General features: G+C 35.0%; 1 protein-coding gene across 3 annotated transcripts in view, besides 2 other annotated features; it reads left to right on the top strand.

The window, feature by feature from the left end:
- Nucleotides 1-22,937, top strand: part of LRP1B (LDL receptor related protein 1B) — a 1,899,594-nt gene that overhangs the window by 1,234,001 nt on the left and 642,656 nt on the right. For all 3 annotated transcript variants that reach the window (NM_018557.3, XM_017004341.2, XM_047444771.1), the window contains exons 24-25: nt 10,681-10,878; nt 12,995-13,199. In NM_018557.3, the coding sequence (NP_061027.2) occupies nt 10,681-10,878; nt 12,995-13,199 (403 nt within the window). The remainder of the gene's footprint in view (nt 1-10,680; nt 10,879-12,994; nt 13,200-22,937) is intronic.
- Nucleotides 1,991-3,190: an enhancer, noted in NCBI's record as "P300/CBP strongly-dependent group 1 enhancer chr2:141651395-141652594 (GRCh37/hg19 assembly coordinates)". NCBI's record gives its function as "activates an origin of replication core promoter dependent on BRD2, BRD4, P300/CBP, MED14 and CDK7 cofactors, with strong dependence on P300/CBP, by STARR-seq in HCT116 cells {active_cell/tissue: HCT116}" and the evidence as "EXISTENCE:reporter gene assay evidence [ECO:0000049][PMID:35650434]".
- Nucleotides 3,336-3,888: an enhancer, noted in NCBI's record as "NANOG hESC enhancer chr2:141650697-141651249 (GRCh37/hg19 assembly coordinates)". NCBI's record gives its function as "activates a minimal SCP1, AML or CMV promoter by ChIP-STARR-seq in naive H9 embryonic stem cells {active_cell/tissue: H9 hESC(naive)}" and the evidence as "EXISTENCE:reporter gene assay evidence [ECO:0000049][PMID:30033119]".

The following is a 22,937-nucleotide window of genomic DNA, read 5'->3' as shown; positions in this document are numbered from 1 at the left end:
CTGTATTTTGTTCACCCCTTTTAGAAAAGCAGCAAATTCACAGTCCAATAAAAATGAATTGACTAGTTACTACTGGACTTTAAAAATAGAAATTTCTTCTTTCTTGCTCATTTTCTGTTTTCCATCATCTTCTGTTGATTCTCCCTTTTAAAATGTTTTCTTTCTATTGAATGCAATACCTGTCCTTATCCCTCTTGACATTAAAAAGAAAAAAAAATGATGATAGCAGGCTTTTGGCTGGGCATGGTGGCTCACACCTGTAATCTCAACACTTTGGAGGGCTGAGACAGGAGGATCTATTGAGCCCAGGCATTCAAGACAGCCTGGTCAACATAAGGATACCCCCTACCTACAAATAATTTAAAAATTAGCCAGTCATGGTGGTGCATGTCTGTGGTCCCAGCTACTCAGGTGACTGAGGCAGGAGCATTGGCTGAGCCCAGGAGATTGAGACTGCAGTGAGCCATGACTATGCCACTGCACTTCAGCCTGAGCATTTGAAAAACTATTTTTGTTTTTTCAAATTATAGCCATGATTGTTCCATTCCTTTTTTCTCTTGAGTTTTCCTCCGTAGTTCTCTCATCTTTTTTTTATTTCTCTACACTCTTCCCTTCTCTGATTCTTTACAATCTGGCTTTTGCTGAATTGCAGAACTGATTCTGTTTTCTCTAAGTTCACTCCTAATATCTTATTATATAAAATGATATTTCATAAATGCTACTTTTATAATTTTTATTTTCTATTTAATATATCTCAAATCTCAGTTTTCTCATATCTCAATATTCAGTTACATTTTCCCTCTTTAATTCATTTATTAATTCATTTATTAATAATTATAATTCAATTATTAATCACCCTTCTCTGAAGTATTGATTTCTTTTAGGACCACCTAAAATATGATACTGATTGTGATATGGACAGGAGGCAGGGAAATACTGGGTAGAACAGATAGGTTCCCCGTGAGGTCCCCACCCTCAAGCTTGGACCCGTGGCCCAAAGTGAGAACTTTACATCCCTGTTTTCTTGCTCAAATGTTGCCTTTTCCAAAACCACCTTGGCCCACCCTGCCCCCCACCTCCATCCTGTACTCATGAAAACCCCAGGCTCCACGGGCAGCAGAGCAGCAGAGAAGAAGAGAAAAAAACAGCTTGGCGTTGTTGAGAAGCAGCTTGACTTCAGAGGGATGGCTTGACGGTGGGACCTTGGAGAAGAGTTTGGCCTGGGACAGCAGAACTCCAGGGGAAGACCACCTTCCTGCTCCATCCCCTTTTCAGCTCTCCATCCCACTGAGAGCCATTTTCATCAGCAATAAAATCCCCTGCATTTACCATCTTCAGTTCGTTGTGTGACCTGATTCTTCCTGACACCCAGTAAGAGCTCAGGTTACAGGGGGTTGTCACACTGAGCTGTTAAACACTTAAGCCACCCAGGGACAGCAAAGTAAAAGAGCGCACGGTAACATGCCTTCTGAGGCTCTAGGGGCCACACGGAGTTCTGCTCCTGCCGGTGAGGTGACCTGAAGCATTCCTTCTGGCCCCTGCGAGCACTCACCTGCCTTCTCCCCTTCCCACGAGGGGTTGAGAGCCGCAGGCTGAGTAAACGAGCCACCCCCTTCCCAAGTCCTGTGAAGGGGTCAGGGAAAATTTCCTGTTTCAATTGCATTTTCTTCTGGCTCCATTGCTGTTTGTTCGGCAGCCCACTGGCAAATTTGCAGCATATTTATAGTAACATTGCAAATAACATTATATAATTTTTTTATCTCAGCCTGAATCAGATTGTATTTTCACATTTTTTTGTTCTTATTCTCTATTTTTTTCATTATTAGGCCTTTGAAATTATTTTTTAATTAAAATCATTTCTAGGAAAGAGATTGTGAATATAAGCACAAAAATGCATAAATATAATGGCTGTGTTTTGGTATACTGTGTCCACTACCCAAAGTTTAATTTTCACATTCCTCTATGTGTATTTCCTTGGACAACTCCTTTCCACTCTGAACCTTCCCTTTTCACCCCAGATCTGATTACTGTGGCATTTACATCTCCAACTGTATCAATTTTTTTTTTTTTTTTGAGGCAGAGTCTCATTCTGGCACCCAGGCTGGAGTGCAGTGGCACGATTTTGTCTCACTACAACCTCTGCCTCCCAGGTTCAAGTGATTCTCGTCCTTCAGCCTCCTGAGTAGCTTACAGGCAGGCGCCACCATGCCCAGCTAATTTTTGTATTTTTGTAGAGACGGGGTTTCACCATGTTGGCCAGGCTGTTCTCAAACTCCTGATCTCAGGTGATCCTCCTGTCTCGGCTTCCCAAAGTGCTGGGATTACAGGTGTAAGCGTCCGTGCCCGGCCTATCATTTTTCTTACTATCTAATTCTACTTCCCCGGATATCATCAGGTCACCTCAAGATTAGTTGGCTAAATGTACCCTTTCTCTTCTCCCTCAATTATCTGTAATTCTGTCAATAGCTGCAGTATTTTTTTTTTGGTCTTCAGGGCTCACAACCTCAACTTATCTTTGATTTTTTCAGTTCCTTGCTGCCTTCTCTCTCCATGTCTTAATTTTTTTTCTTCACAGTGTTTCTTGGATTCAGATCTCTTTCTACAATTAAGCAGCATCTGCACCACAGCACAGGCCAAGAGATACATATGTTCTAATGATAATGGCAATCTTCTCTCCAGCAAATTTGTTTTTATCTTCTTGTTTCTCCAGTTTTTGAGGAGGAGGATACTGAAACTGGAAAAAAACATAGTATTTTTACTGACAGAGGGAGGAAAATCCAGATCCAGGAAGATGAAAATTAATAGAAAGGGGTCAAGATAAAAAATAAAGTGATAAGCAGATTTGCTGCCTTGGGGAGTAGTGAGTGATAAAGGTGAAGCCACCAGGGGAATGAAGCTATGGGGGACTTAAAATCCAGTCATCCATTCTTTTATTTCTCTTTAAAAAATGACACATTTACATATCAGTTTCCATCCGGATTTTAATAGTATCTCTCTATTTTCTGTGAAATTAACCTCAAACCTTTCTGTCTGCTATTCAGAGCCTTCTTCATTTTTGCTCATTTTCCCTCTCCACCCTGATGTTTCATCATCATCCACTGTGGGTTTCGACTTTAGGCACATTATTGCTATTTTCATCATGAGTAATGATAGTATATGCATGACTAAGAATGTGTAAAGCACTTTCACATATGTCGCTTCATTTAGTCATCTTCTTCACATATTCCGTTCACTATCATCTATGACTTAATAACAATATCTTTCACATTCTCCCTGGAAATTTGAATCCTTTACACTCTTCAAAACTCCCTTATCTACAAGGAATTTCTTCAAGTTAATTATTATAATGTTATTAATAGCTACCATTTACCCAACACCTAAAATACGATCATGTATTTATTACTCCCAAGAAACCAGATAAATAGTCTTAAAACTCTGATTTTATACCTACGGAAATGAAGACCCAGAAAGGTTACTTGATTTGCTCAGGGTGAGAGGTTGTGGCTAAGAGATGTTAGGGCAAAGGTTTTGAACTTTATTCTTCCTGACCTCAAAGCAGGAGCATTTACATAATACTGCAAAGACCCAGGCAGTTTATCTGTGCTGTGAGCCCACACATTCCTATGATGCCTTTGAATAGTCAACATTTTCATGACCTTACTTTTGTTACTTGCATCCACTTTCATAAAAGTTGAGATTGAATCAAAATATTTTATATCCCTTATGAAACATATGAACATTTTGCAGCAAATGATTATTGAATGTAAGAGCTTTCTCTGTTTTAAGTAGTTGGACCCTTTCTCTTTTCTTCAATTACTCTCATATTTATGATCTCTCTTCCTCTCTTTATCTTTTGAAGGTCAGGCAGGAAGTGTTGAGTTGATTACACTCCTCACTTCCTGGCACAGCATTATAATTGGATCTAGGTAAGGCTTTTTATTTTCCTCATGCCCTCCCTTGGGTCTCTCTTTCTTTCTTTACTTTTATTTCGAAAGCCTACCCCTCTTCCTTTCCTCTGTCTCTAGAGGAAGTCATTTCAATGTAGTTCATATATTCTCTTATAAAAATCTATGTTTCTTTGCATACATTTTTAATTATGTAATTGGTATTATACATATTACAGTCTGTCATTTACCTTTTTTAGTCAGCACTGTCTTTATGAACTGTGCACCTACTCTGTTACTTCTAATCACTAGATAGTGTCGTAGAGCATGCACACATCTTTTATGCTTTTCCATTCTACCATATCAATACACTCAAGTTGCCCCTAACTTTCTGTACAAATGATAATTCCATAGACATACATTTACCGGCATTCTTATAGATGTGGATAAAAATTCCTTTAGGACCAGTAACAATCATGGAATGTACTTCTACTTACAATGACTAAGTAGAACCAGTTCCTCTTCAGAGTGGTTGCACTGTCTACATCTATACCAACAGTTCACTAAGTTCCCGCATCCTTCGCAGCTCTCAAAATTATCCACTCTGTCATTTTCTCCCTAATATGTAGGAGTAACATGATATATCATTGCTTTTGTTTGCGTTTGTTTTATTTCTCATGAGTTTGAGCACCTCTCCATATACTCACTAGCCTTAATTTCCTTTGGTCATTCTCCTATTAAGATTACTGCCTTTTCTTATTAATTTGTAGAAATCAACACTATGTTCTAAACTTTAGACATTTCCGATACTGCCTCCGTTCAGTCACCCATCTATGAACTTCATCCACGGTGACCTCTGTTGAACAAGTCCTGTTTGTCTGCTTCTGTCACTTACTCCTTTGTTTGATTCATTTCTTTGCATATTTCTTCTTCCTCCCATAATCATTTTCATCATATTTAGGGTCTTCTAGGCTTGTTATTCATTCATTGATTTTTATAATTATTTATTCATTTATGCAATCAAAAATATTTCTTAAATACAATCTAGTAAAAGACACTGGACTGTATCCTAGAAATGCAGGTTTTGTTGTTGTTCCACCTCTCACCTGAGTGAGTGCTCTTCTCTCTCACTCTGCCTCTCACACACACACACCCCAAAGGAGGATTCTTACAACTTGTTAATGAAAAGAATTGGTGAGTTAAGCAAATCACGAACTTGACATACAAAGCAGATATATTTTAAAAATCCAGAAATACTTGGGAAAGTGATTACTAAGAGAGAAACAAAAAATTGGTTCTTAAAAAAATGTCAAGAGACAGCTGATGACATCATCATGTATATGTACAAGTTTGAACAATACTTGAAAGTTCACCCTGGCCTTCATTCTATTGATTCTATTCCCTCTGCCTACCTGTATATTATACTTCAGAAATATTTAACCATCATTCATTCCCAATATGCCTATAGCTGGAGAAATGGAGGGAAGCAAGTCATGATATATATTGGGCCAGATAAATAATATACCATTTACCACTTCATAAGTTGCTACTGTGTAAAATAAATGTATCTGATGATGGGACAGAAAAGTTCAAATAAATTCCTAAATGTAAGAACATAAAATACAGTAAAAACTCCGAAGTAGCAGGAGAGAAAACATTGTAACAGTAATATCACTTTTTGTTTGATTATATCATATATATGGTAAAGAATCAGGGGATTTCACATAGAATTGCTAGTTGTATGGTTGTAATAGCAGTTTACCCTGAAAGGATCTGAAGAAGGACTCTTTTTCCTAGGCAACTCATCTGCTGCTTTCATAGTCTGTCTGATAAAAATCATTCTGCAAATCTGTAGTGGGACTAAAAGAAAAACAAAGAAGATAATTGTACATAGGAGATAACAGTCTTCTGAGTGTTTTCTAAAAGCTTCTTGTAAAGCACTAGATTTATAAAAATGAAATTTGTCACTTACAAAAAGTATAAATTGTGACCTCCTTTATTTTGTACATATCTCATCTCTTATAATATGCTAAAGGAGAAAGATTTCAGGCCACTTCTCTATTAAGAGGATAGTATGCTGATTTGAGCTGTTAAATTCAGTCGTTTATGAGATAGAAGCTAGTATACTGGAAGAATTGTTAGAAAACAGTAAAAATGGATGGCTACTTCACATATTATTTATATTCATTCTAAATTGAGTTGCCACAAAAGATGTTAATATAGTTATGTCAAGATTAAAACAAACTAGAAAATTCTTCATTTATTTTATCTCCAAATACTTTTTTACAAGGTTTCATTTAATTAAAGTAAAAACCATTGTAAGATGGGATTTTAAAATTCTATCTTCATGATTTCCCACTGGTTTATGAAATAACACATTGGACTATTCATTACAACTTTATTTTCTCAGAGGGGAAATAATAATCTAATAAGTCAACATAGATCTTTAGAGGCACTTGAGGGAGATATCTAGATTAAGAGTTCAAATAGAAAATCATTTGAAAATTTATACTTTGATTTTTGATCTTTGGTAAACTAGTTTATTTTGTTTGTTTATTTTATTTCAGTCAAGCATAATTCAGTAAATATTTATCAAACAAATGTTTTCTCAACATAAAATGACTATAAAGAATACAAGAACATGAAAAGATTGTGAGCAGTTTTAATAAGATACTCAATGTAAAGGTCATTGTTCAAAGAAAACATGTGCTTTTAATTACTTTTCATTTTATAAACTCAAACATGTTTGAAAATAGTGGGAATAATGTATTCAACAGCCAATATTTTTAAATATTTAGAATAAGTCATTCACAATTTAAATGATTTTCTGAAAGTAATAAAACATTAGATAACTTTGAAGCCCTCTGTGTATGCATTTCTCCATCTCCAGAGACAGCCCCTTTTGAGAGCCTGGTGTATCTGTTCTATCCTTACAGTTTGTGTTTTTAAGCAACATTTAACACTGTGCTTTTATATATACACAAGTTATATACATTATGTACCCATCTGGAACTAGGGTTTTTTTTTTTTAACTAATAAATATGATTTTGAGATTTAACTGCTCTATAACATTCTACTCCATAGAAAGATTACAGTTTGTCATTCCTCTGTTTGTGGCCTTTAAGGTTCTTTCTAGGAGTTTGCTATATCAAACTATGTTGTAGTAAATGGCCTTATGATGTCTACATATGAAAATGTACACAAGTTGAACTACATATTCAAGTGTATGCACATCTTCATTTACACGTGTTCAAGTCTATTATAGCCAAATATGTCTCCAAAATAGTTGTAGAAATACAAACTACCATTGACACTTTATGAAAGTGCCTCAGTCTCCAAATCATTGCTAACACTAGCTACCATCATGGGTCAAATTGCTTCTCCTCCACTTACGAGCTGTGTGACTTTGGCATGGTGGTTATATAATTTCTCTGTACCTCTGTTTCTTCCTGTGTAAAATGGGGGTAACAACATCACCCACCTCATAAGGCTTTGTGAGGACTGTGTAAATTGGGATTTATAAATGTTTAAGAATGGCTGGGCCAGGTGGCTTACGTCTGTAATCCCAGCACTTTAGGAGGCCAAGGCAGGTGAATCACTTGAGGGGCAGGAGTTCAAGACCATCCTGGCCAACATGGAGAAACCCTGTCTCTACTAAAAATACAAAAATTAACTGGGTATGGTAGCACATGCCTGTAATCACAGCTATTCAGGTGGCTGAGGCATGAGAATTTCTTAAGGCTGGGAGGCAGAGGTTTCAATGAGTCAAGATCATGCCACTGTACTCCAGCCTGGGCAACAGAGTGAGACTCTGTCTCAAAAAGAAAAGTTTAAGAATAATTACAGTATATAGGAAGCACTCCATGTGTGATGTTTTGATAATTCTTGGACTTCCAATTATGCCCCATAAAATGGGTGTGGTCTTGCTGTTTTAATTGGTGTAAACTTTTCTTAATATTCTCAATTACTATGTGACTTCACTATGGACTAGTAACAAAGTCTGTGGACTGGCAGCAGTCTATGTAGATAACTTGAGTACCACTTTGTTAAATTACTTTTAGTCTTGTAGGTTTTACTTTTTTTCACATTAGATCGGAAGGTATAATTTTACTATTAAATCAATGTTTGTAATGCTTATATATCATTTCAAGTTTTTTTTTTTTTTTTTTTTGAGACAGACTCACTTTATTGCGCAGGCTGGAGTGCAGTGGCATGATCTAGGCTCACTGCAACCTCTGCCTCCCAGGTTCAAGTGATTCTCCTGCCTCAGCCTCCTGAGTAGCTGGGATTACAGGCACATGCCACCATGTCTGGATAATTTTGTATTTTTAGTAGAGACGGGGTTTCACCATGTTGGCCAGGCTGGTCTCAAACTCCTGACCTCAGGTGATCCACGAGCCTTGGCTTCCCAAAGTGCTGGGATTACAGGCACGAGCCACCGCACCTGTCCTTCTATTTCTTTTTAAGTCAATTTTGCTAACACATTTCTCTAAGAATTGACTTATTTTACATATTTTCAAGTGTATTATTAAAATGCATATCTTACTCATCTGTTTTTTATTTTCTATATTTTCTATTTTTACTCTTCCTGTTGTTAATTTATATATGTATGTATATTTATATGTATAAGTATATATATATAAAATCAAGTCTGCCATAGGTCATCTATCTATATTTTGTTATTCTTTTAAACAAATGGCTTTGGGTTTGCTAGTAATATCTTTTGTTGTATTTTATCAATTTCTGTAGTTATATTTGTTATTATTTTCAAATTTGAGTTAATTCATTTTTATTTTCTGAATTCTTTGAGTTGAAATATTATTCCATTAATTTTTCTAATAATAGTTTCTCTATTCAACTAACTCAAATGCACAGAAAAGAAACAGAACTAAATTGTTGGCATTCTTTGTTTTCTTTATGTAGATAGAAAATTTTTCAGATCTGAGGAGGGTTATAGGAATGACTCTAAATGAGTAAAAAATTAATGATATATGGAACCTGGACTGTTAACAGTGAGCTAAAGGTAGTATTTGTACAGTTTTATGCCCTTTACAAGTTCTTACAGTCATTACCACATTTTTTAAATAACAGATGTATTGAGATATAATTTACATACCATAAGATTCACTCTTTTAAAGTGCACAATTCAGTTTAACTATTACAACTATTTAATTTTGAGCACTTTAATCACCCCAAAACAAACCCCATGCCCATTTGCAATCACTTCCTGTTAATACCTACCCTCGGCCCTAGAAACCACTGATCTATTTTCTACCACTAAAGATTTGCCTATTCTGGACATTTCATATAAATGTAATCATGCAATATGTGTTTTATGACTAGCTTCTTTCACTTGGTGTAATGTTTTCATTTGTTTTAGCATACACAAGTAATTCTTTTCTTTGTATTGATGAATAATATATCTATCATGTGGATAGACAGCATTTTTTTATTCATCAGTTGATGAGCATATGAATTATATCCATTTTTGGTTATTATGAATAATGCTGCCATGAATATGCACCAGTTTTTGTGTGAACATGCATTTTTAATTATCTGGGGTGTTCAACTAGAACTGGAATTTTTGCTGCTCTTACATTTAAGTCTATAATACAGTTTGAGTTAGTTTTTGTCTATGGTATGAAATAAGTTTGAATATGAGTGGAGGAAAAATCATCTTTCCAAGAAATAATGCTCTGGGAGGACTAGATTTTCACATGCAATTGAATGATATCTGAACCTATCTCATACCATATGCAAAAATTAATTCAAATTGTATCAAAGACCTAACATAAGAGCTAATCCAAAATTAGGTAATTTTTCTTTTAAACAACTGTGCATCCAACACAAACATTTTCTTTATTTTAAAAATGCTAAATCCTGGATATTAAATTTTAAGAGTATTTGTTTTATTGGGAGCTATTTGGAACTATTCTGTACCTGTTTTTGATATATTGTTTCAGTTAGCTCTTGTCACAATAATGTCATACAGCAAAAACAATACTGTGCAATAAATAACTGCAATATCTAAGTGATCACAACAATATACATCAGTATGTCTCACAGTAATTAGTTTAGGGTTGATACATTTTTGAAATAACATAATTTTAGTAACTTTCAGATACTGAAACATTCTTTTAAGCACAAAAAATAATACTAAAAGAAACTTTAATCTCATATCCGTTTTCAAAGCTTCTTTCCTTTCTCCCTACCCAGGCCTGTTTCAGGCTAAAAAACACCAAGTGAGGAATGATATAGTTATGATTTTTTTGGACTCTGCAGGAAGCCGCCATCTTGTCTCTTAATGGAAGCACTCCCTAACTATAAGTCCAACAACTTCTTCACAGATCTCTTTTTCTTTGTTGTTGGATAGTTCTCCTCTATGGATCTGTTAGTATGGGATAGTTAGTTAAGAGTGTAGCAAAGTTAGTTTTAGCCAAATCTTAGCAATTTCTATGGTGACTTTTCTGAGCATTAAGTTGTCAGCTGAAATTCTAAAAAAAAAAACAGAAAATCCTCCATTTTGTCTTTGCGTGGCAATAATTCTTCTATTCTTTAATCAGTATCAGGTATATGTAAATCCAAGGAATAAAAACTCCCTAATACCTATTCTAGTGAATACACATAAACCTAAGTTTTGCAAGTTTCTGTTAAATTTTGGATTAAAAGAAATTGCTGTTTTAAGACAGAGAATTATGTAATAAATTATACTTTTAAATAATATATTTTGATCCCAAGCATTTCATTACCAGAGTTTACATTTTCATAAGCCTATTAAAAATAAATTTAATTTCAGATCCTTTTGAAGCATTCATCATCTTTTCTATTCGTCATGAGATCAGAAGGATTGATCTTCACAAAAGAGACTATAGTCTACTTGTTCCTGGATTGAGAAACACAATAGCACTTGATTTTCACTTCAATCAAAGTTTACTTTATTGGACAGATGTTGTAGAAGACAGAATATACCGGGGAAAGCTTTCTGAAAGTGGAGGTACATATATTATAATTTTTCTTAATGTTTAGATTACTTTTTTAAGTGAAAATTCAAAGAACACGTTATAACTAGAAGAAATTTTGATTATTCTTTGACCTTTGGTCCTTTATCCCCTCCCTCATATATGTAAAATCAGGGATATTGAGCATCTGTGTGAGCACCTGTTGGGGGCAGGAAGTGGTGACGCTCGTGCTGTTCACACCATTTGCCACTGTGGACTTTTCCATGGACTGATGGCAAAGAAATGCATTTACAAGAAAAAAAAAAAGACTGGTTGTTACATACCATTAGTCACATTTTTAGGAGTTACAATAACTTGTTTTTTTTTTTTTTTTAATTTTGCTACCATCTTTCAACATAATTCAAAAAAATGAAGAAAGTATTACAAAGATGACTAATATGAGCTAAATATTTTTGCCATAATTTGACTTATCTCTTTTGGCTAAGCTAACCCTTTCTTAAGTAGAAAGTCTTTGATATAAATAGCCGGGTGTGGTGGCTCACACCTATAATCCCAGCACATTGGGAGGCCGAGGCAGGCAGATCACGTGAGGTCAGGAGATCCAGACCAGCCTGGCCCATATGATGAAACCCCATCTCTACTATAAATACAAAAAATAGCTGGACGTGGTGGTGCATGCCTGTATTCCCAGCTGCTCGGGAGGCTGAGGTAGGAGAATTGCGTGAACCTGGGAGGCGGAGGTTGCAGTGAGCCTAGATCATTTCATTGTACTCCAGCCTGGGCAACAGAATACTTTATCTCAAAAAAAAAAAAAAAGGAAGCCGTTGACATAAATATATATTTCTTTTGAAATGTTGCACCCATGTACCATTCCAAGGACAAGGTATCTCTGTCAAATTGTTAATTCCATTGTAAATCACCTTTGCAATTTTGAAAAATGGTCATATTTAAGCACATAATATAATTATGATATGTAAACTTATATCCTATGTCATATACTGATTTAAAATGATGGATTTAGATTCATAGGATTAATTGGTTAGCTACTTCATAAAACACATTGTTAATATGTCTAACAAAAAGCACTGCTGTGGTAGCAATGTTACAAACTACAAGGATTTATCATATCAGAAAAGGTATTTAAAAATGAAAGTTTTGGCTGGCCAGCACAGTGGCTCATGCTTGTAACCCCAGCACTTTGGGAGGCTGAGACAGACAGATGTTTAAGCCCATGAGTTTGAGACCAGCCTGGACAACATGGCAAAACCCCATCTCTACCAAAAATACAAAGAATTAGCTGGGTGTGGTTGTGTGCACCTGTAGTCCTTGCTACTCAGGAGGCTGAAGTAGGAGAATCATCTGAGCCCTGGAAGTTGAGGCTGCAATGAGCCGTGATCACACCATTGCATTCCAGCCTGGGCAAACCAAAGTGAGACCCTGTCTCAAAAAGTAGAAAAAAAGATTTTTTTTTAAATTGTGAAAGAAATTCAATAGTGGATAAATAAGAATATTGGTAGGCATCACTGAAATGCTTATTTTTATTCAGACCTTTTTCTCTTATTTACATTTTTGTTACATCTTGCAAGTCTTAGGGTCCCAGGTGGGGAAGAGGGTCATCTGGGGTTGATCTTTGTTAAGGTTAAATATAGTAGTAGCTATTATCTGTTATCCTTCTAAAAAGAGAAAAAGAGTGAGTGCTGATTAGCCAGAATGCATCTTAGCTCTGGTGGGCTTTTTCTTTTGATTTTATTCTACTCTTGAAGATCAACATTTGAGTTAAGTTGCACTGATTTTAACCAGAATATCATTATTGTTTCCAAAATCCTTTGCTCTGTATAAAAAAGTCAGGAACAAGAAATAACTTTTTTTTTGCAACCTCAACGTTGTTATTAGCCTCAGAGCTGCTTAAAAACTTTATTCCACTGATACCAAAAGGATTTACTAGATTAAAGATTTCTGGCAAGGAAGATCGGTAATGCTAAATTTGAGTCTACTTGGTTTTACCTGTGCTAGGTAGCACTTTTGCAATCTCTCAAAGTTGAAATCACATTGAAATAATTTGTACTGCTGATCACAGGCACAAAGGCCTTTTCCTTTGTGCTTAACACAATCCTTGAATGGGTGCACATGTTGGTTTTCCTTCTTTTGTAGGTGTCAGTGCCATTGAAGTGGTTGTGGAGCATGGCCTGGCTACTCCAGAAGGCCTGACAGTCGACTGGATAGCAGGAAACATATACTGGATAGACAGCAATCTGGACCAAATCGAAGTGGCCAAACTAGATGGCTCCCTAAGAACTACACTAATAGCAGGAGCCATGGAACACCCCAGGGCCATTGCTTTGGACCCAAGATATGGGTAAAGAAGTTTGCCTTTTATAGATTGATTTTGGCATAAAAAATAGTCTTTCAATTTAACATTGAATTTAATTATCTCATCAATTATGAGTCAAAGTGGTTATTTTGTGCCCATGTATGTGTGTGTGTGGCGGGGGCGGGGAGGTGGGGGTAGGTATGTGAGTTGTACATACAGCAACTAGTTTATTACCACAAGTTTGGTGATAGGATTGCTTACATAGGTACTTTTAGAGGCTCAAAATGTCTTTTTTTTTTTTTCTAAATGTGGGCATTAGGCCCTATTGGAAGCTATTGCAACTCTTTTTCAAAACAGTAATTTAATGAATTTCTCTTTGCCCTGCCAAAGAGATGTTGTAATTGTTTCTAATGGTTGGAAACTACAGGGCCAGTCTTTGTTCTAAATAGTCACAGATGTTAGCCACTTCACCCTTTATTTATTTTTTATGTTCTTGGAGTCAGTTTAAAAGAAAATTTAAATAAGCTTGAAGGAGTCCAGTGGTGAGATATTGACTGTTAGGAGGTTTGAAAGACAAAGCATATGATTCTGGAAAACAAGGTTCAATGTTGAGTAACTCAGGTTACTGCCCTCTTCCCTTTTGTGTTCCGTTGTGAAGGAGCAGAAGAGAGGCACTGGATTTCCAGCCAGAACATATGGGTTCCCGTTCCTGCCCAGTCACTTATACTCTGGGTGTATCAAGTGTATCTTTTTCCCTTAGATTTCAGGTTTCTATTCTATGAATTGGGGATAATAACATCTTCCTCCTTCAGTTGTTTTTAAGGAGATGATATACATGGGAGATAATATGCAACTGATAGGTGAGAATGCTTTGTTATTCCTGTTGATTTTGACCTTTGTAATTGTTTTGTAAATCAAAGGTCATTGTCAAGCCTAAAGGCTAGCAGAAAGGAATTCTTTAGGAGGTTTGTACCTTTAGGTAATATCAAGTCCAGGGAGCACCAATGAGTGCTTCAATGAGAGAGGAGCTCCAATGAGCAGGGAGTGAGCCAAAAGGGAGTTCAACGAGATAAGAGAGAAAAGCCAGGCGATGTCTAAGTCGGCCTCCTGGCCACACCTTCTGACTTTTACTCTTGTCTATGCCTAAGACTCAGAAGTCAATAGATTGGGAAGTATGTTTGTGTCTCTTTTCCTCAATTTTGACTCAGAAATGAAAGGGGCAGAAACCATTTATCTAGAGCAAGGATTCCAAATTGGCCACCCTCATTTATGTGTTTGCTTTATTTTCCACAGTGTTTTAAATTTACTTGAATTAGTTGTCAAAATTTAAAATATTGAGAGATTTTACATAAGACCCTGGATTTCTGCCTTCTTTTGTAAAATAGGGAGATTTGGTAACAACTAGCTGAGTAGTAGCTGTTTCTCTTAGCCTGGAAGTATATTCTCTAGTTTATGTAGTCTACGTTTTACCTATTTCACCCATTACTTCCTGTAATAACAATTGATCATGAAAAAGCCTGCTATGTTTAATAAGACTTACCTTTATTTTTCAATATTTTATTCCTGAGGTACAAGTAGATTGCTGATACTGACCCTACACTTCCCACAAAGTTGCTAGCTCATTATCAGCTAGGGCCTTATCTCCAGTACCAACAACTACTGATGTAAGGGTTTTACCTATCAGACCTAAGTTGTGTCAGCAAGGGAAACTTTCTGAATAAAAGAAAAGTAATATTTTGGAAAAGATTGTAGTCCTAGCATGTATACCAACATGAGAAGAAAAACATGAATAATTCCAAAATTATAAATGACACAGAAAACAAACAAAAAACCAGGTGTATGAAAGTTTAAAAATGGTCTCTCCAAACAAGATAGATTTTGCAGTTGATGCTTCCTTTTCCACTGATATTGTATTGACAATGCTAGGATCAACTTATTTATCTCAGTTTTGTAAATATCCAACCTGAGAGTAAAGAAAGAAAACAAAAACACAAAGGACATACAATCTACAAGTACTATTTAAGTGAAAATACCAAATATGATTTCAGTGTGAAATATCCTCGAAGAGTTGAAAGTTAATACAGAAAGCTAGCCTGAAAGTAGGGGAAAGTCAAAAATGCTTCTGGGGGAGTTGATACCTTCCATCACTAATTGCTGCTATGAAACAGTGAGGCTAATTAAGATAATTACATTGATAATAAAATAATACTTTTTTTTAAAATAGGGTAACAAAATAATGCTTATACAATCATTTCTAGAATAAATGACTAGAGTTTGGATAACTACTAATTCATTAAACTCTAAGTGTTAACTGGAAGGTTGACAGATTTTTGTGTCATGATTTGATAGGCTTTTATTGTTAAAAGTTATTTTATAGAGGTTAATATGATTAAGATATAAAGTTTATATAAACATCATAAAGCACATTTTAAAATATACATTTTTAGATTTAATAATGTAATGTGAATATTAAAATATTTTCAAGTTTATTGGCTATTTTGATAAACAGTTCTGAGGTTAGTTTAATATATTGGACCTTTCACAAGGTAGGCTTAAAACATAGCAACAATAAGCAGACACACACGCACACACACACACACACACACACTTACAGCAAAGCCAAGCCAAGCACAAGAAAAGCAACATTGAAATATAATTTTATTTAAACTCAGCTTACTATCTTAGTGCTATGTACAATATAAACATAAGATTTTCCCCAATTTCTCAAACTATTAATAAAATATATAAGGAAGCTGAGAATCAGCATTGATATGAGCTTCAAAGTAATTTAAACTTCTTTTGAAATTTTTAATTTTAGATAAAATTCACTAATTATTGAGAAATATGATTTATATAAATACTGTTATATTTTCTACTAAATCTTAAGCTTTTTGGTGGCAAGGGAAGTTGTTTTCAGTCTGTAAAATCCTTCTAAGCCTCTTTGAATATATACTTGTGCTAAGTAAATGTTAAACAAATGAATGCATGCATAGAAATGGAATTTGTTTATATGTAACTTACAGGAACTCAAGGATATATTTAAAATGGGAAGTATACAGTAAAGGACAGACAGCTAATGGGAAAACTATGAACTTTGTTTACAATAACAAATGAAAAGAAAGGTTTGCAACTAGCCACTTTTCTCCCTTAACACAGCTGAGAAAACAAACAGGCCCTAACACTAGCCTCACAAAACACATTTACTTCATGTGAGGTTTCTACAGCAATCAAGGTCTTTGTGACCTTTTTTTTTACAGATGCCAATGTGAAGTGTTTTTAATTGACGACTTTGCTTCCCCAGCATAAAATCCACCAACATTCACTTTGGGTTATAAAACATATCTGTCATCATGCCATATTCCTTCAGTCTTCTGGATTTTGACCTGATCTCCCAGGTGACAAACTATTCCAAGATGGTAAATTGAGAGTCTTAGGGAGGAGCTATTTTTCTTTCATTCCATTTTAAGGTAATACACTTATTGCTAAGGTGACCTGAAAGAGACCATGAATCCCGTTTTAAACATTAAGCTTATTATTAGAGAGTAACAAGCACCAGGGTGTGCAGAATCTACAAGGTACTCACTTCAGTTCTTGAACTTTCATTGCCTTTATTTTTACGCTACTGCATGGCATCTTCCTGATCTATTGCTAAAGCTAGTATTTAGTTTTCCTTTGTCATAATAACTGAACTAAAAATTCAGCTTTTAACTAAAACTGAATTTAGTTAAACTAAATTTTTAACTGCCATAAAAATTTCGTTGGTGAAAGTAGAAGTAGTAATTGTGAAGATTAGTGAGACATCTAAATAATATTTTAATCCTATCTAGGAATATTCTTAAATGGAACTAATAAAGGTTTTGTTGGTTTTAGAACTGAATATTACAGATAAGTAACCTCTTTTTTTTTTTTTTAACCAGGATCATTTATTTTTACCTTCTGCTGCTTGATCTGATAGGTGATAACAGCCTTTTTATGCCTATAATGCTACAAGTTGTTCATGTCTTTTGACCCAGTTTAATCCAGACACTTACTAATCCATGAATGGAGGAACTGCAGCATCTGTAGACTGTAGTTTCTTTTTTTAAAAGTTATTGTGACTGAACATTTCCATACATCCTATAAGGAGACATATTAAGTCTTTGTATACTTGAGGATATAATGCAATTATTGAAATGCTAATGCATTTTAACCATCTAAAGAGAAAGTAATAGGAAAAAAATGATTCTGTTAAAATAGCACATTATCAAGTATATGAAGGAGTACCTAGAATGTTATGAAACGATGATCATTGAAATCAGCTCTTAAGATTGTTTTGAACTATGTTATGGCAAGGTTAAGAACACTTCTAGGGTGACTAATTCTATAACATGTTATTTATAAAAAGTGTTGGAATTTCTCACTTAAATCGACAAAATTTTAGTCTCATAGTGATCACCATAGAAGTATACTAACACTGCTAGGTTTAATGAAGAAATGAAGGGATCACTTATTTTAGTGAATCAAAGTGTCCCAAGCCATATTTTTCCCCCACTAGAAAAACGTTTCAGAGTTCACAGTGCCTATTTCTGGTAAATATAAATATAGAGAATACAGAATTACAGTGTCACTGATGGATAGTTGGACTCTCCACAACTATTCAAAGTATAACTGGATAGAAAGTTACAAGGTAGACACCAATTTCCCAATTGTTATACAGGCAAAAGATGATGCATCAGAAGTCTTTGTGTTATCATTGCAGAGTGGGAAGTACAGCCTTATCTACATCTATTGGTGGCTTATCCACAAATACTCAGAGACTGCCTATAACTTCCAAATTCATAGTTTGTTTTCAGGGATTATTTTTTCTTTTCTTTTTCTTTTTTTTTTTTTTTTGGAAACAGAGTTTTGCTCTGTCACCCAGGCTGCAGTACAGTGGCATGATCTCAGCTCACTGCAAACTCTGCCTCCCGGGTTCAAGCAATTCTGTAGTTGGGATTACAGATGCGTGCCACCACGCCCAGCCAATGTTTCTATTTTTAGTAGAGACAGGGTTTCACCATGTTGGCCAGGCTGGTCTCAAACTCCTGACCTCGCATGATCCATCTGCCTCAACCTCCCAAAATGCTAGGATTACAAGCATGAGCCACCACACCTGGCCTCTTATTTTTTTAAGCTTGCAAATCTCTCTACTGGCCCTTGTTTGTGGAGATAACACTACAAATTAGATTGATGCTATCTTCGTGTTCTTTCTATTTAAATATTTTTGTTTTTAATGCTAAGTTTAAAAGCAACTGACAAATAACAACCTGTTGTCTATGAAAGATCTGTGCACTCAAAATTAAATTGAAGTGAGATTTAATTTATTTCATATTCATTATTTTTAAGAAAGGCATTTTACTATTTAAATAGCCTATCAGCTTTATATTAACCTTTGTTCCATTTTCTATTTAACTGGCAACATATTGTATTATTTTGTGATTAATTTTGTTTATAAATAATTTCGTGCTAATATTTTCAGATAATTAATATTTTTATACAAAACAATCTTATCTTTAAACATAAATTTTTTGGGAAAATAGGCCCCAATATTGAAATTTTATAAATGTCCTCTGGTACATTTTTAAAAATTTGTACCTATTTATTTGAGTTGTTTACACTTTTGAACTTTTATTACAGAAATATTAAAGTACACAAACTAGTAGGGATTGTGTAATAAACTCTCTTGTACCCATTATCTAGCTTAAACAATTATCAGTACATTGTCCTCTGGTATATGAATGTTCATTTTTATCCTTTCCCAATGGTCTTATTCACATATTTCATTATCGAACAATAAACAATTTGGATATTGTTTTTCTGAATATGCTTCCACAACCATAGCTGTGAAAGCCTTGAAACTAAAATTAAAGCCATATACATAGAACTAAAGCTGTCTGTGAACCCCATAAACCTGAGACAGGTCTCAGTTAATCTAGAAAGTTTATTTGGCCAAGGTTGAGGATATGTGCCCATGACACAGCTTCAGGAGGTCCTGATGACATGTGCCAAAGGTGGTCGGAGGACAGTTTGATTTTGTACATTTTAGTGAGACATGAGACATCAATCCACATATGTAAGATGAACATTGGTGGGACAACTCGAAGCAAAGGTGGGAAGATTTGAAATGGAGTGAGGGGGCCTCCAGGTCAAGGTAGATAAGACACAAATGGTTGCCTGCTTCTGAGTTTCTGATTAGCCTCTGTAAAGAAGGCAAATGCATTGATCTCAGTGAGCAGAGGGGTGACTTTGAACTGATGGGAGGCAGGTTGGCCCTAAGCAGGTCCCAGCTTGAATTTTCCCTTTAGCTTAGTGATTTGGGGGCCTCAATATTTATTTTTCTTTCACATTTCCCGCCTTTTCTTTTTAAAATCTTTCAGAGAAAGCATTTTAGAAGAACATGAGTCTCTGGTTTCAGGTTTTATCTGATCTCTTATGGCTATGATGTTTTATTCCTAGGTGGCTAAGTCTTGATTTATTAGGAAAGCTCATTTTTAGCAGGTTGTGAAGTCTCATGTCCTGTGACAAGAAAATAAGGGGAAGAAGGGAGAGAAACAACAACAAACAAAAGAATAATCCTGGAAAATCAGTATAGGCCACATTACTCTGAAGTCCATGCATCAGTAGGCAGCTTCGAAAGTCGTTTATATATGTGGCTTTAAATAGGTTGCTGTTATATTCTTCTGAAGTTTAAGTTGTCTATCTTCAGTTCAGAGGGCTTTACAAAAGCACAGCTTAGTTTTTGATGACTCCAAATTAGAAAAAAATGGAGAAAAAAGGAAAAAGGAAAAAAAATGAAAGCATTATTTTGCCCACTTGTAACCAAGAAAAAATAGAATTTGGTCCAAATGGTAGAAAACAATAAAAAAAGAAAAACATTAGGCAAGATTAGAATCTAACAACAGGTGTACTATAGTTTTTGAAACATTATTATTCTTTCTCCAGTTTCCCATTTTCACTAAAGACAAATCCTCGTAGGACTGATTTGCTTTATTATACTTGGCCTGATTATTTGTATACAGTGCAGCAAGAAAAAAAAATATTTTTCACATAGGCTTTTAAATTGGCTTTGATGGAATTTTGTTCCATAGAAGGAATCTCAGATAAGACTATTTTAAAGTTGAGCCCAGCCATGGATTTGTACTATCAAATACCTATGAGTTGGGTGGATTCCTTTTCTCTTGAGGTTCCAAGATAAACTTGGAGCTCCTGGGCCTGTTATAAAAATGATGTTCTTTACTCACCCCAGGTCAGGAACCCTGTACAGGGATGGTATAGACAAGGTATGAGGTCAGTTTTTGCAAGGGGCTTTTATTGACTTCATAAGTCAAGTCTGATTCCTTAGAGGAAAGCACACCACTGCAGTCAAAGCCTTGATAAAATAACCAGTTTCTCCAATTGTGTCCTATTACAAATGAAAACAAATTTTTATTGCACTTATGCAAATAACTGTATTGCCATAAGCTAACAATACTCACAAATAGTTTCAAAATTCTGTAGAAATCAGGTAGAGAGAAACAAACATGCTCCAAATTGTGTTCATAGGAGTATATACCAAGTTGTTAAAAGCTGTCAATAGCTCAAAGCAAAGTTTCTCTGACTCTGAAAAGAAAAAAAGGATTAGCAATGTTTCAAGCAAAAAGTCAAAAGGATTACTTCAATCTTCTATTAATTCAGTCCATGCAGTTAATTTCTGTTCTGCTTGATACTCATAAACATTTCAGCTCTCCATGAGTTCTGAAAGCTTTTCCTCTATTCTGATATCGCAACCTCCAAAGTTATCAGAAAACTGGATTCAAGAGCATCTGTTAGAGTTTTATAGCTGATTATAAAACCACCTTCTAAAGAGAACCAAAACAAAATAACTGTCCGTGGAAGACAAAAATTTTAGGGCAGTCATAGTCAAAGACACCATTGACAAGGAAATTTGTTACCTCTGTGGCACACAATAATTTAATATAACAATTATAATTATTACTGATAATGTACACAAAGTCATATTAGAATTATAGGAGTTTCCCATAATTTTTGAACACATACCAATAACATATACAAATACAGCCCAAAGAAAACTGAACACCATTTCACAATTGACAATGCTTCCTGTATAATTTTTATAACAAATAAGCCAAATTATGTCATTTTTGGACTTTAGGGAAACTAACACCTTAAAGGATTAATTAGGTCAGAAAAGACATACTTTCTAATTTGATTTTTAAAAGTGTCAAATACCAAAACACATATTAAAACACTTGATAATTGCAGGTCTTTGAAAATTAGTCATTCATTTGACCAAAGTGATAACTCAAGGATTTCAAAAAAGAGGTGAAGGCCTTCATTATTTGAGAGAGGAGACTTAATTTTAAAAACAATAAGCCCAAATAAAAGCAGGAAGCTAATTAAATTTGTTTTTCAAAATCTTATAAGCAATCTATAAAATTTTAATCTTGACCATAAGATATAACTTCCATAAGCCTTTTATAACCTTTATTAAGTAGTTAACTAATGCTTCAAGAAAACCCTGTTAATCTGACACAAGGGCCCATATACTGGTCTTGCATTAGTATGCCTTTGACTTTAGTGATTAATTTATAGAGAAACTGGACTTACTTTATCTCTCAAAATCTGCCTTTACAATATCACAGGCCCACCTCTTCTGTGATAGTTCCTGGGCTTTGAGGAGTTGAATAGTTTTAATTTCTGTCCCTGGGTTTCAGGAATGCAATTTATTTTTATTGTCATCTTCTCCCAGGACAAAATATGAGGCTTTAATTGCTGTCACCATTTAAGATTTAGCAGGACTTGGTGTCCTTTTTTTTTTTTTTATTGAGACAGAGTTTTGCTTTTGTTGCACAGGGTATAGGGCAATGGCACGATCTCAGCTCACTGCAACCTCTGCTCCTGGGTTCAAGCAATTCTCCCGCCTCAGCCTCCTGAGTAGCTGGGATTACAGGTGCCTGCCACCACGCCCCGCTATTTTTTTTATTTTTAGTAGAGATGAGATTTCACCATGTTGGTCAGGCTGGCCTTGAACTCCTGACCTCAGTTGATCCATCCACCTCAGCCTCCCAAAGTGCTGGGATTACAGGCATGAGCCACCACGCCCAGCCTGGTGTCCTTTTTAGACCCAGGAGTCCAAGCCCTGTAATTTAATATCACAAGTACTTTAAAAGCACGTACAGAAAGATAAACGGATGTAGTAACCTTAATTTAAAAAAAAAAGAAAAATTAATCTTAGTTTTTTTCCTAAGCAAACCAAAACTTAATAATAATGACATAGGAGTTGTTTTGATAAACCATAAAAATCTGTTAGACTGGTTACCAAAGGCAAAAGAAAAGACCTTCTGCACTGCACAGAATATTATTTTGGAAGAAAACATTTCCTTTAGACCTTTAAGAAAACATTGTTACCATCAGGCCACAACAAACAAAAGTTAATGAAAAAAACTTATATGAGCTGAAAATGAGTTGAAGGAGAGCATTACTATCTTGCTCCCTTTAAAAGGGGAGAGAAAATCAAAAACAGTGAGATGCAATACATTTGAACTTTGTGTTAAAAAAAAATCTGTTACAATTTACTAAGAATAAATCAATCCCTTAAGTAAATGTCACTGTTCTAACCAATTATTTATTGTGTGTTTTTTAATATCAAGCCCCAATCTATAGAAAGACCATTATAGTTTCTCTTTAATTATAGACAGCTTGATCATATAAAAGTTGTTTTTTTAAAAATAAATTCTTATTTTGACTTACACAGATCATTCATGT

Source organism: Homo sapiens, chromosome 2 (genome assembly GCF_000001405.40).
Source record: "Homo sapiens chromosome 2, GRCh38.p14 Primary Assembly".
Taxonomy (NCBI): Eukaryota; Metazoa; Chordata; class Mammalia; order Primates; family Hominidae; genus Homo; species Homo sapiens.
The sequence above is the reverse complement of the archived record's forward strand: the minus strand, read 5'-3'. Positions and strand labels throughout refer to the sequence as shown.